Source organism: Homo sapiens, chromosome 8, assembly GCF_000001405.40.
Source record: "Homo sapiens chromosome 8, GRCh38.p14 Primary Assembly".
Taxonomy (NCBI): Eukaryota; Metazoa; Chordata; class Mammalia; order Primates; family Hominidae; genus Homo; species Homo sapiens.
In genome coordinates this window covers 70,027,557-70,042,853 of record NC_000008.11, presented here as the reverse complement: position 1 = coordinate 70,042,853, position 15,297 = coordinate 70,027,557, and the positions used below count along the sequence as shown (strand labels likewise).

General features: G+C 45.8%; 1 annotated feature.

Annotated features, from left to right (window-relative positions):
- Window positions 7,646-7,705: an enhancer, noted in NCBI's record as "active region_27504". NCBI's record gives its function as "activates an Ori minimal core promoter by ATAC-STARR-seq in GM12878 lymphoblastoid cells {active_cell/tissue: GM12878}" and the evidence as "EXISTENCE:reporter gene assay evidence [ECO:0000049][PMID:35858748]".

Here is a 15,297-nt window from a genome sequence, read left to right as displayed (position 1 = left end):
TTCTCCTTAGAGGGAACCGGCCGTCTCTCTTTCCCAGTTGTTAAATACTATACCAAATCCCTTCAGCCCTAAAACCCCCTCAAGGCAAGTCCAAGGTGGGTCTCTCTATTCCTGATGATAACAGGGGGGTCTGAAATCTTTCCTGTTGACTAGTAGCTTAGGTTATGGCTGGTGTGACATGTGGCTGGTGTGACATGGGATCCCAGTCTTGTGCACGTGCCCAAGGGGAGGACTGCAGGGCCTGGGAAGGCCAGTGCAAAGACAATGCTCCAATATAAGGCCCTTTAAGGCCCTCCAGGCTCTGGCTGCCTGGGGGTTTTGAGCCTGCAGACTCAAGTGCCCAGTAAGAGGAAGAAGACACTTGAACACTGTCAGCCAGGAACTTTTGCAATTGCCAATTTATGAATTGCAAAGGCACCTCCTGGTTCACCAGTTAGCTGGATACTTACATGCAATTGTTTTTTCAAGATGTGGCAAGATTTGAGAGGGAGAGAAAGTAAATACGAAGAAACAGATGTTTGTAAACTATTACTTGAATAACAAATACAAAATGACTCTCAAAAATAGAGATCTGTCTGTGAATTACAGTATATTAATCACAAAATGCTTAAAGGCAGCATAGGGGAAATTCTCTCTGAGAAACCTAAACTCACAACCCAAACAGGACAAACACTATGATTCCACTAATATGTGGTACCTGGAGTAGTCAAATTCACAGAAAGTAGAATGGTGGTCACTGGGCCTGCAGGGTGTCACTGTTAAATGGTTGTAGAGAATCAGGTTTGCAAGATGAAGAGTTTTGGAGCTGGATAATGGCTGTGGCTACACAACAATGTGAATTTACTTAATGCCACTGAATGTGAAGTAACTCAGGAATGGAAAATCAAATCTTGTATGTTCTCATTCATAAGTGGGAGCTAAGCTATGAGGATGCAAAGGGATAAGAATGACATTAATATAATGGATTTTGGGGACTGGGGGAGAAGGGTGGGAGGGGGGGTGAGAGATAAAAGACTACATTTTGGGTTCATTGTACACTGCTTGGGTGACAGGTGCACCAAAATTTCAGAAATCCCCACTAAAGAACTTACCCATGTAACCAAAAACCAGCTATTTCCCCAAAACTAGTGAAATTAAAAAAAAAAAAAAAAAAGGCCAGCCTCAGTGGCTCACACCTGTAATCCCAGCACTTTGGGGGGCCAAGGTGGAAGGATCATTTGAGACTAGGAGTTCGAGACTAGCCTGGGCAACATGTAAACCCCATCTCTACAAAATACAAAATAATTAGCCAGGTATGGTGGCGTGTGCCTGTAGTCCCAGCTACTTGGGAGGCTGAGATGGGAGGATCACTTGGACCCAGGAGGTCGAAGGTGCAGTGAGCCGTGACTGTACCACAGGGACACCAGCTTGGGTGACAGATGACAGAGTGAGACCCTGTCTCAAAAAAAAAGAAATTTAAAAAAAGTTTAGACAATAAATGTTACATCTATTTTACCACAATTTTAAAAAATCATTTTAAAATAATTTTTTTAAAATTAGACCAATGACAGATGCTACAAGTGGACAAACCATATGAATCCTGGGGCTCTAAAGGTACTGCCCCAATGGACAGCCTTCCCCCAGCTCTGAGAGGCTTTTCCCCTGCTGTCTTGTCTTTGTTCCTAGCTCTTCCTATCGGATCCCGGCACTGATGATAGTGTGAGGGCTGCACACTCCCCACTCCCAGGAGAAGCTTCACTTTTCAGAGTGTTTACTCCAGGCCCTCTCTCTAAGTGGCTACCTGTCAGTTTCCATTTCAACTCTACCTCTACTTGCAGGACTGCTGACCACCAACTGACATATTACCTGTATTGATTCTCTAAGAGCTGTCGAGGTGAAGGGAAAGACTATTCTAAGGCAACCCTGAGCTCTTAGCTGAGTGGGATCATAAAACGCCCCCATTAAAGGTTTCATTCAATAACAATCTTTGCAAAAGTAAATGGACATCAGTCTCCCACCCCCACAACTAATACAGAGGCCATTATCAATGGGCAGAGAGCACTGAACGGCGGCAGTATCAGTTTCCACATTTTCAAATGATTCCTTTAATGAAAAGCTGCATTCTTTTCAGGCCATAAAACACCAAGGAAAAGTCTATTCATTTAGCTATTGTACATATTAGCTTATTTATTTATGGCTAATGCTGCCATCAGCATTCCCTGGGTGTAGAGTTAACTCACTTAATGATTGGTTGATAAATTGCTAAAAAGCGGAGAGGTTGAAATTGGCTATCATGCAGGGTGATTTAAGTTTGTTTTGTCATTTCAAATACAAACTCACTGTCTTTATACTCTATTTTAAATGATCCATCTCACATAAGGTGTTTTATATTCGCATGCCTATTTGATCCAGAGTGCACAAAGATTGATTTTCAACCACGTGCTTAGGAAATAAGCATATTGTCATTATTTTACCAAAAGAGAGATAACATCTACTAGCTATTTGAAATAGATCTTCACCACCAAATTATGGACTCTTTTATTGCAAAACTCATCTTCTCATTCTTTCCCTCTCTTGCTCCCTTCCTTCCTCCCATCTTTCTTTCATTAAATAGTTACTAGTAGGATCATCTCAGCAGTTTTATGTCTTGCATAGCAGGGACTCGATGGTTGTTGACGCAATCTGCTTTGGGGAAAAAATAGTGCCTAAATGAGACAAGTCATGAATGGGTCTTGGAAAGCAATTAAACGCTACACCTTGGTGTTTTCTGAACATCAGGGTTCAGAACTTCATTTCCTATTTGTACAATTCTGAAGATACTGTACTTAAAAATGTCCACTTGTATTTACTTGATAATAGCTGATGTGGAAATGGTGGAAGATAAGAGTAATGAAATGTTGACAGCAAAATGTGTTCTTTCATTAAATTACCCCCTTTTCTTTGTTAATTGAGATATACATGTAAAAATCTGAAATAAACTACAAAGCGAGGCCGGGTGCATGGCTCATGCCTGTAATCCCAGCACTTTGGGAGGCCGAGGCGGGCGGATCAAAAGGTCAAGAGATCGAGACCATCCTGGCTAACATGGTGAAACCCTGTCTCTACTAAACATACAAAAAAAATTAGCCAGGCATGGTGGCAGGCACCTGTAGTCCCAGCTACTTGGGAGGCTGAGGCAGGAGAATGGCGTGAACCTGGGAGGTGGAGCTTGCAGTGAGCTGAGATCGCGCCACTGTACTCCAGCCTGGGTGACAGAGCGAGACTCCGTCTCAAAAAAAAAGAAACTACAAAATGAGGCCTAAAGTTCACTTGCTAGACCTTCAAAATTATGTTCTGCTGAAACAAATGGAGCAGAAGGAGGGCTGCCCATCAGCCCACAGCAGAATCACTAACTGCAGTTTACAAATCTGAGAGCCCTGCAAACCCTGGTCCCAAGGATACTCCAACTTCCATGTCCAGCAGGCGAGTCGGCTCCTGAAATATGTGCTGCCCTCTGATGTTCCTCCCCGCTCCTGGTTCCTGGGGTACATTTACAGGCTTCCTGCATTCAACCTGTAAATGTTTGTGCCCTGCACTCTTGTCACTGTTCTCTCTGTCCCTGCACAGTCTCCTGCATTGCCATAGCTTGTTTCGATTGCCATCTGTACACTGACAATTCCTACATTTTGATCTGTCTTTCTACATGGAATCTCTACTTGTGTGTCTCAGAGGCAACTGACTTTGACACATCTAAAACTAAACTCAAGATCTTTCCTACAAACCTGACAGTGTCTCCATCCCATCCCCAGGTCCCTATCTGAGGAATGGCACCACTATCTACTGCCCTAGCAAGCTGGTTGTCACACCTCACACCCAGTTCATGCAATTCATCTCAGAAGCCTAAGGCCCTCATCTCAACCCATCTGATAAAATAACTTTTATATCTGTTCTTGCCCCAATCCAGATCATTTTCTTCCCAGCTAGAGGCATCTTTTCAAAACACAATGTTATCACTCCTTTGCTTAAGCCCCCACCCCCTTTTCTTTTCTTTTCTTTCTTTCTTTCTTTTTTTTTTTTTTTTGATACAGGGTCTCTGTCATCCAGGCAGTGGCACACTCACGGCTCACTGCAGCCTTGACCTCCTGGGCTCAGGTGATCCTCCCACCTTAGCCTTCCTGATAGCTGGGACTACAGACACACACCCAGCTAATTTTTTATATTTTTGTAGAGACAAGGTCTCACTCTATTGCCCGAGCTGCTCTTGAACTTTTGGGCTCAAGTGATCCTCCCGTCTCAGCCTCCCTAAGTGCTGGGATTATAGGCGTGAGCTACTGCCGGCCTCAAGACCTTGTAAAAGCTTCACATTTGTAGTCCACAATTTTTTTTTTTTTTTTTTTTGAGACGGAGTTTTGCTGTGTCACCCAGGCTGGAGTGCAGTGGTGTGATCTGGGCTCCCGGCAACCTCGGCTTCCCAGGTTCAAGCAATTCTCCTGCCTCAGCCTCCTGAGTAGCTGGGATTATAGGCACCCGCCACCACACCTGGCTAATTTTTGTATTTTTAGTAGAGATAGGGTTTCACAATGTTGGCCAACCTGGTCTCGAACTCCTGACCTCATGATCCACCCACCTCGCCATCCCAAAGTGCTGGGGTTACAGGTGTGAGCCACCGTGCCCAGCCTCTGTAGTCCAAAATCTTTAACACTGACCTACAAGGCCTTGCCTCTTCCTCCAATTAGGTCTTGGGCTCCCTTTAGAACTCTGTTATGGCCACATAAACTTTCTTTCAGCTTTTTTTTTTTTTTTTTTTTTTTTTTTTGAGACGGAGTTTTGCTCTTGTTGCCCAGGCTGGAATGCAATGGCATGATCTTGGCTCACTGCAACCTCTGCCTCCCAGGTTCAGGTGATTCTCCTGCCTCAGCCTCCTGAGTAGCTGGGATTACAGGCATGCGCCACCACGCACAACTAATTTTGTATTTTTAGTAGAGACAGGGTTTCTCTATGTTGTTCAGGCTGGTCTCGAACTCCCGACCTCAGGTGATCCACCCGCCTCGGCCTCCCAAAGTGCTGGGATTACAGGCGTGAGCCACCGGCCTTCTTCTAGTTTTTAACAAGCCAAACTGCTTTCTGCTTCAGGGCCTTTGCTTATGATATCCCTTCTGCCTAGAACACTCCCCACTCTTCTGAAATCTGTCTGAGTGCTGACAGCCTGGATTGGGATCCAGGCTCCACCATTTAACCAGCTGTATGACCTTTAACTTCTGTAGTCATTAGTTCTCTTATCTGTAAAATGGGGTAAATAATAGTACTTACTTAATCCTTAAGTAAGATCCTGTGCACAGTCTTATCCTTAATGCAGTGCCTGTCTTTAGTGTTCAATAAATGTTAGATATTAATGTCAATATTATTTCCTTCTGTGTCCGCAACAAGCACTGCATATAATAGGTGGCTCAATGAATAGTTGTGAAATGAGTAAATGAATGAATGTGCGAACAATGTGATCTGGCCTTCCCTTTGTTGTCATTACTTTGGAACTAAAATATCCCCAAGTAAGAGTGACAGCAGCCACCCAGGGCACATGACAGTGTGAAAAAGGGGAGATGAGGACACAGAGCAAAAGGACAAATGCGAAAGCATGACATGCAAAGACAAGCATGGGAAAGACAGTGTAATGATGTCCTTAGACCTTCTGCCAGCAGCTTGTATGTCTGCTATTTTCCACTGAGTGTGCACAAAGAGACGACAGCCCCAGAAACTGAGCAGTTGTGACCTATGGGAGTAGGTGTGGGGGATCAGAAGCAAGGTAGGAACATATTTATTCAGTCAACAACATGTATGGTGCTGGATGTGCTAGAGATGCCAAGCACAATGGGTTTTTGGTGCAGTTAAAGAAGGTGAAGGCCAGGTGCGGTGGCTCACGCCTGTAATCCCAGCACTTTGGGAAGCCGAGGCGGGCGGATCACGAGGCAAGAGATCGAGACCATCCTGGCCAACATGGTAAAACCCCATCTCTACTAAAAATACAAAAATTAGCTGGGCGTGGTGGCGCATACTTGTAGTCCCAGCTACTTGGGAGGCTGAGGCAGGAGAATCGTTTGAACCTGACAGGCAGAGGTTGCAGTGAGCCGAGATCACACCACTGCACTCCAGCCTGGTGACAGAGCGAGACTCCATCTCAAAAAAAAAAAAAAAAAAAAAAAAAAAAAAAAAGAAGAAGAAGGTGATGCCTTTAGAATAGAATACCTAGAATACCCCGTCTGATCATGATCTACCTGCGTAAAGACCTTGTCACTCTTGCGTATTCTCAAACTCACTGGTAATGAAAAGATACGAGTGCACCTATTCTGCTAAACCTATAGACTGGCACAACCCTTTAGTAAGCAGTTAAGCACTGTGCACCAAAAGATCTGTAGTCTTTTTTTTTTTTTTGAGAGGGAGTCTCACTCTGTCACCCAGGCTGGATGCAGTAGCACGATCTTGGCTCACTGCGACCTCCGCCTCCCAGGTTCAAGCTATTCTCCTGCCTCAGCCTCCCAAGTAGCTGGGATTACAAGAGCCCACCACCATGCCTGGTTAATTTTTGTAATTTTGGTAGAGATGGGGTTTCACCATGCTGGCCAGGCTGGTCTCAAACTCCTGACCTCAGGTGATCCGCCCGCCTCAGCCTCCCAAAGTGCTGGGATTAGAGGCGTGAGCCACCACGCCCAGCCAGGTCTGCAGTCTTTAACCCGGAAATTTCAGTTTTGGGTATTCCTTCCAAAGAGTCAGAAATACAAAGATATATGAACAAGAATGTTAGCAGCACTCTTTTTGATGATGAAAACTGCTAACAGCCTAAATGTTCAGCAATAGGACTTGTGGCACATTGCTAAAATTGAGTATTGGGTAGTTACTAAAACTGAAGTTTTTCAAAGACTGTTTGGCATTCTTTCTACAAACATTTTTGAGAACCTTCTTCAGGACATTGGGAAACACTCACAATACAATGCTAAGCTGAAAGTAATCCAAATTCTCTGTATAGCAAATTCTGTGTATAGCAGGTGTTATCTCTGGGGCACTTATAGATAATTCTTCATTCAAGACAGGTAACAACTATTTCATCCATTTTTCCAGGCATTAGTAGCTGAGCAGATGGAAATTAGATGGGAAACCCTCCTAAGAAGCGTCCATAGACCTTATTTGAATTCTTTCACAGCTGTCATTATGGACTGAAGCTACAAGCCACCCAAGCCTGGCCTGTCACTCCAATGGGCCTTAGTTTCCTTACATGTCAAATGGGGAGGTAGGATTACATTATTATTGCTACAGCTTCTATGAACAAAATATGCAAGGCAGGCGAGGTCTCAATTATCCTTTGTCATTAGCATATCTTTGTTTTCTGGTCCCTTTTGGAAAGGCCGAATGGTGTGCAAAGCTGATAAGCATTTGAATTAGAGAACTCGGGAAAGGCATTTTTTTTCTCCTGGTCCCCAGCAGCCTCCAACTGGGCGATGGAGAAGAAGAGAATCACAGAATGGGTGTCCTGTTGGTTTTGGGGGCGGAGGGACAGCACGGCAGATTCTGAGGAATACGATAACGGCTCCCAGGGATCCTCGAGCAGATGCCCCCAGGCGGGGCCGGCAGATGGCCAGGACTTCCTCTCCCGGTTGTGTCCCGGGGGAGCCGCAGCCACCTCGGGTTCCGCTTCCTCTTCGTTTTCTGGTCTCAAGTGGGAGTCAATCTGGTCTCTGCTCTCAGACACTAAGGCCATCCCTCCCCACCAGTCAGGGGCACTGGGAACGGAGGCCCCAGCGCAGCCCCTCCCGCCCTCTGTGAAAGCCTCAGGGAGACTTCTCGGGGAGGGGACGCCTAAGGTTACCGCGGCGAAGACCCTCGAGGGTCTAGAGGGGCTGTTTGAAGCCTTTCGGGCCTAATCGGAGCTCTACATCAGAGGGCATTTAATTGGCCTTGAAATTTTCGATCGATTCCCGAATTCAACACACTTTGGAAAACGTGCCTTGAGAGAGGCACCGGGCGAGAAGGGGTGCAGAACACATGGACGCCGGCTCACGTCCCCAACCCGCCTCTGGATCTGGGAACCGCAAGCCCCGCCCCTTTGCCCGTAGCATCCACCTTCCGCACCCCGGCAGAGGCCGAGGGTCCCGCCAGTCTCAACCCGACCCCGCAGCCGGCACTCCTGCGGCGCGCGCGTTCCGAGCTCTTGGGGCCAGTGACGCCGGCGCCCTTCCTGCAACTCCGGGCCGCTTCTTGAACCTGACAACCTCTAGGGAGGCGAAAGGGAGAGTGGATTTGGAGAGGAGCAAATTCCGTATATTTAAAATAACGTTTTTCTCCTAGCCTTACAAAAATAACATTGCGGCCAACCTATACCCAGCATCCAGCCACCTAGAGATAATCACTCTTCAGTCTCCGCCATCCAGATTATGTCTACGTGTTTTCTCTTTTCACCAGAAACTGTTCTGTAAACAGCTTTCCCCCCATTTAGTGTGTAGTGAGCATTTCATTTTGATAGTATTCTCCGGTAAAATGACTTGAAACGTGCCCATTAAAGTCGACCAAAATGATTGGTCGGGCGCGTGGCTCACACCTGTAATCCCAGCACTTTAGGAGGCCGAGGCGGGTGCATTACGAGGTCAGGAGTTCAAGACCAGCCTGGCCAAGATGGTGAAACCCCGTCTGTACTAAAAATACAAAAAAATTAGCCAGGCGCGGTGGCAGACACCTGTAATCCCAGCTACTCGGGAGGCTGAGGCAGAGAATTGCTTGAACCAGGGAGGCGGTGGTCGCGCCACTGCACTCCAGCCTGGGCGACAGAGCAAGACTGCGTATCAAAAAAAAAAAATTACCATGATTTACAATCAATCGACTATTGTGAAACAGGTAGCTTACAATTTTTTGAGTATTACAAATAGCTGTGCTAAACATCAGTGTAGATTAAATAATATACCTACATCCCAGACTGTTGTTCACTTGAATACATTTCTAGACGTGAACAAATGGAAGAAAACACAGGTAAGGAATGGAAAGGTTGGGCCCAGGTGTGCCGAGAATAGCACAGCGACAGCACAGAAACAGTGGCCACTTCTTCCTTTCTTTTCTTTTCTTTCTTGCTTGCTTGCTTTTCTTGCTTCCTCGCTTTTTTGTTTCTTTTTTCTTTTCTTTTCCTTCTTTTTATTTTTGGATCTCGGTTCATACAACCTCTGCCTCCCGGGCTCAAGCGCTCCTCCCACCCCAGCCTGCCAAGTAGCTGGGATTACAGGCGCATGCCGCCACGCCCGGCTAATTTTTGTATTTTTAGTAGAGACGGGTCTCGCCATGTTGGCCAGGCTGGTCTCGAACTCCTGGGCTCAAGCGATCCTCCCGCCTCGGCCTCCCAAAGCGCTGGGATTACAGGCGTGAGCCGCTGCGCCCACCTCCTTGTCACTTTCTTGATTTACCTTGTTGCTTCCTGTCCTCCCAATAATTATTATTCAGAGCTGAGCTGGATAAAGCAGGGACCTGATTTCACCAGGACAAACGGTGCCAGAGATGTTTTCCCCTTAAGAAACCTAGCTCAGAGACCCGGGGTCGGGGATGGGGGGTGGGAGTTACGAGGAGAAAAGGCACAGGCGGGGGCAGATCCGGATTATGAATGGATGCTCCTCCCAGGTGGCACCCAGAGCCTGGCCCCATCCACGCGTGCGTGGGCGCGGCAGGGGGTCGTGACGATGGCTGTGACCACAGGTGGTCCTCCTCTGACCCTTGAAGTGCCCAGTCTCTCCCTTCCTCCTTTCTCCTCTCCCTCCCTTACTCCACACCTTTAGACCTCCTCCCCTTCCCCTCCACCTGGCGCAGATGAGTGGGACCAGCCCAGGCGCTGCGAATGGGGCTTTGGGCTAGAGAGGGGGCAAGCGAGCCCGAGCGCGGACCACGCGCAGCGGCAGAGAGGGAACTGAGCGCGGCTTTACTCCCTCCCTCCGCTCACGCCCCAGGCATCCTGGAGCTCCCAGACCCGCTCCTGGCAGAGCTCCGCCCGGCCAGCTACTGCCCTAACCCTGGGGGCTTGGCTCCCTCTCCATCTATCTTTCGGGAGTGCCCAACCACAGCTAGAGACCAGCCGATGGAGGAAAGGGTCTAACTCCAGGTTCTTTATCTGCACACTGAAATGGGGGTGACTGGTTTCTTTTAGTGGTGTTTTTCTTTTTGCCTGAAGGGGATCCGTACATCTGAAAGCGGTTCGTGAGGGAGCAAGGCGTCAAAGCCGGAGGGAGGCCTTTCCTCCCATCCTTGTCTTCGTGTTTTGCTAGCTGTTCAGGGAGTGAAAGGATGAAGCCTTAGTGCAAGGCCGATGCAGACCACTCACCTGCCATTTTGTGGTATTTTTTCATTATTCACTTTCCCTAAATCTGACTCCCCTGTACATCTACTTCACAACTGCATAACCTTCTTGAATATAAGAGATTAGCTCTTATACTGCTCATGTTGGTTCCTTGATAGATTAGTATATGTATAATATATATTTGTATATGTTAAATATATATATTTAGGCCAGGCTTAGTGGTTCACATTTGTAATCCCAGCACTTTGGGAGGCTGAAGAGGATGGATAGCTTGAGCCCAGGATTTCGAGACCAGCCTGGGCAACATGGCAAAACCCCTTATCTACTAAAACTAGAAAAACTAGGTGGGCATGATGGCAAGCACCTGCAGTCCCAGCTACTCAGGAGGCTGAGATGGGAGGATCATTTGAGCCCAGGAGGCAGAGACTGCAGAGAGCTGAGATCATGCCACTGCACTCTGCATTCCAGCCTGGGTGACAGAGTAAGCCGCTGTCTCAAAAAATATGTACATATACACACATAACCTGCCTGCTTGTGTGTGCTACTTACTGCTTGAGCAAAAGATATAGCTAGGAGTAAAACCTATGCAACAATTGCCCTGCATAGCAATAGGCTGCTTCTCATACTCACTGCATTTTAAAATATTTATTTATTTATATATTTTTTTGAGACAGAGTCTCGCTCTGTCGCCGAGGCTAGAGTGCAGTGGTGCGATCTTGGCTCACTGCAAGCTCCGCCTCCCAGGTTCACGCAGTTCTCCTGCCTTAGCCTCCCAAGTAGCTGGGACAACAAGCGCCCACCACCACGCCTGGCTAATTTTTGTATTTTTAGTAGAGATGGGGTTTCACCATGTTAGCCAGGATGGTCTCGATTTCCTGACCTTGTGATCCGCCCACCTCGGCTTCCCAAAGTGCTGGGATTACAGGCGTGAGCACCTGGCCTAATTTTTATGTTTTGAGACAGGGTCTTGCTCTGTCACCCAGGCTGGAGTGCAGTGGCATGAACATGGCTCACTGCAGCCTCGACCTCCTGGGCTCAAATTATCCTCCTGCCTCAGCCTCCAGAGTAGCTGGGACTACAGGCATGCACCACCATGACCAGCTAATTTTTTATTTTTCATACAGGCAGGGTCTCACTATGTTGCCCAGGCTGGTCTTGAATTCCTGGACCCAAGCAATTCTCCTGCCTCTGCCTCCCGAAGTGCTGGAATTATATACATGAGACACCATGCCTGGCCTCATACTCACTGCATTTGAACCATCATTAATAGGAATGTCCCCTGACTACTGTTGCAGGGGTCAAGGGATATATAGGGAGATAATTTACTCTACCTGGGTCACCACGCTTCACCTAGCTAAACTCCTTAAATCTCAGCTTAACCTTCCCTTTCTCTGGGAAATTAGTTCTAACTTTTCCCCATAAAATTAGGAGGCATAAATCCTCAGGAATCCCACCCTTGAATGGATTAACTTAAAATGAATCACCAGGCTGGGCACAGTGGCTCACACCTGTAATCCCAGCACTTTGGGAGGCCGAGGCGGGTGGATCACCTGATGTCAGGAGTTCAAGACAAGTCAGGCCAACATGGTGAAACCCTGTCTCTACTAACAAAATATAAAAATTAGCTGGGCATGGTGGCAGGTGCCTCTAATCTCAGCTACTTGGGAGGCTGAGGCAGGGAGAATTGCTTGAATCCGGTAGGCAGAGGTTGCAGTGATCTGAGATGGTGCACTGCACTCCAGCCTGGGTGACAGAGTGAGACTCCATCTCAAAACAAAATAAAATAATAAAATAAAATAAAATAAAATAAAATAACCTCTCTCTGATGGTCTATTATCCCTTGGGAGTGAAGGAGGGCTGTGAGTCATGGGAAGTATACCAGATGTATAAATAGCATGAACATGAAATACGATGTCCAATATACAACTAGTGAGTTAGAGTGAACTAGAAGGATTGGGAAAAGATGCAGCTGGCAATGGAGGAATGCTTCATGGAAGGCAAACACTGCGAATAGAGTTTTGGAGAACTGAAAAGATAATATTTAAGAAAAGAGAAAAAGTTTCATTATGCCATTGTTCTAGAAAAGTTGACTCAAGATATGTGGGAAACCATGGGAGAAAAAAGAAGCCAAGCAGTTGTGAAATCTAAGGGTTTCTTTTGCCTTTATCATCAAAATTCTGGAATCAGGTGTGATGAAGACCTGAGTACTATACATGTTAGCACAAAAATGTAAATTGCATAAGAGAAGTCTGCTGTATTTGAATTGCTTGGTTTGGAAGGTCCAGGGGAAACATTTAGAACCCAGATGTTTATATCTGTTCCCTCATGAAATCCAAGTGAAATAGTACTAAAAGGCTAAAAAGGAGAAACCTATAAAAACAAAGGGAAAAGAAATGACAGTAGATGAGCGATTTCAACCTAGTTTTTTGTAGAAGGCTGGAAGCAGATGGCCAAGTATTAACTGATTTAGCCAACCCGAGAGAGCTGACTCCCCTGAGTTGGTGGCGAATTTGACAAGAACCAAGAGAATTCCCACCACAGACCTCAGGACGGCTCAGGAAAAAAGACATCAATTTCTTCTGAAAACGCGAGTGTGGGTGGGAAGGAAATTAGGATAATTGGTTGGAAGTTGTATAACGAGCAGTTAGATGCACAGATCTCATCCCCAACGTGTGCATCCAGGCCCACCTGAGAGTGAACAGAACATGCCAAACAGAGCATCCCCAACAAGGATCACCAACATTAGAGAAAAGCCTCCAACATACCAGACAGAGACCAAAATAAGGAAATAGGGCCAGGGGCAGTAGCTCATGCCTGTTATCCAGGCACTTTGGGAGGCCAAGATGGGTGGATCACCTGAGGTCAGGAGTTCAAGAACAGTCTGGCCAATATGGTGAAACCCTGTCTCTACTAAAAATACAAAATAAATTAGACAGACGTGGTGGTGCACATCTGTAGTTGCAGCTACTTGGGAGGCTGAGGCAGGAGAATAGTTTGAACCTGGGAGGCGGAGATTGCTGTGAGTTGAGATCGTGCCACTGCACCCCTCACTAGGCAACAGAGTGAGATTCCATCCCCGCCCCCCGCCAAAAAAAAAAAATAAGGAAATAGAAAGAAAAATAGAGACAGTATATGGAGCAGAGAAAACTTTAAAAATAAACTCTCAGACCTTCAGAGACATACTAGAAGATCTTGCATTCATGAAACAAGAACAGGGGTATATACAACAGTAAACAGAGGACAAAAACCCCTTGGAAATTAAAAATATAACAGCAAAATTTTTTTTAAATAGCACAGTTGGAAGGGTGGAAGATGAAATTGAGGAAATCACAGAAAGTATAAGAACAACAACATTAACAAGCACAAACAAGTGGAAAATGGGAGAGAAAAAAAGGTTTAATCCAGGAGACCCCAAATCTAAAAGGAATTATAACCGCTGATATGGTTTTGTTGTATCCCTACCCAAATCTCATCTTGAATTCCCATGTGTTGTGGGAGGGACCTGGTGGGAGGTAATTGAATCATGGGGGCAAGTGTTTCCCGTGCTGTTCTCATGATAGTGAATAAGTCTCATGAGATCTGATGGTTTTATAAAGAGGAGTTCCCCTGGACAAGCTCTCTCTCTTTGCCTGCTGCCATCCATGTAAGATGTGACTTGCTCCTCCTTGCCTTCCACCATGATTGCGAGGCCTCCCTAGCCACGTGGAACTGTAAGGATCCAGGAAACAGAGGACACAGCACAGATGTTTGCATCCCAGAATAATGGCAGGAGAAGTCACAGGATGATGGCTATGTCCCAGGGCCAGAGAGCAAGCAGTACAAACCAGAGCAGAATGGAGGCACCTCAAGGGGTAAGGAGGGAAGTGAGGAAGAAACCCACAATAAACTAGGCAAGCAAACACCAGCCAAAAAGGAAGACACTTATGAACTCCAGGGATAAAAAGAAGTGGTAACAAATAAAAAGTAAAATAAAAAAGAATTTTTAAAAAGTAAAACAAAAAAAAAGAGAGAAATGGTACAGGAAAGGGAAAATATGCCATAGCTATAGCCAGGATACTATTTAGCTCATCTAGGAATAATATGTGCTGCCATAACAACAAACAATGAGTAATACTGATAAAACTGAAAGAATGATATGAATATATTGTGAGGATAGAGGGAGGGGATAACACATGTGGGACCTGGGAGGTATGAGAGCCTCATCTTCCATAGTAGGAAGGCAAGAGTTAACAAATAAAATAAAAGAAAAGAAAATAAATGGTGGTATATACATATTATTTACAAATTTGGGGCTAGCTATTGCTGATAGTTTCTTTAGGGAGAATATGAATCAACAATAGCCTCACAGCTTACCAGCAGTAAAAGAAAGAACAGAGAAAAAAAAGAAGAAAAGAAGGAAAAAAAGAAGGAAAGAAAGAAGGAAGAAAGAAAAGAAAAGAGAAAGAAAAAACAATGGGGCATGCTAGGATTAGGATCTGGCAAATTTTTGTTATAAACTCTGCAAAATTATGTGAGTTTTTAAATAGTTGTTATTTTGAAACATTTTAAGCCTAACAAGAAGTTTCAAAGATATTACATGGGGTTCTCATGTACCATTCATCTCATTTTCCCCAATGATAACATCTTATCTAACCATAGAACATTATCAAAACCAGGCAATTGACACTGTTATAATACTATTAACTCTACGTGACTTTTAAAATCATGTTCATATATAATTTTGTTTTGAATAAGCATTAAAAGAGAAAGATACGGCCGGGCATGGTGGCTCACGCCTGTAATCCCAGCACTTTGGGAGGACGAGGCAGGTGGATCACGAGGTCAGGAGATTGAGACCATCCTGGCTAACACGGTGAAACCCCGTCTCTACTAAAAATACAAAAAATTAGCCGGGCGTGGTGGCAGGAGCCTGTAGTCCCACCTACTCTGGAGGCTGAGGCAGGAGAATGGCGTGAACCCGGGAGGCGGAGCTTGCAGTGAGCCGAGATAGCCCCACTGCACTCCAGCCCGGGCAACAGAGCGAG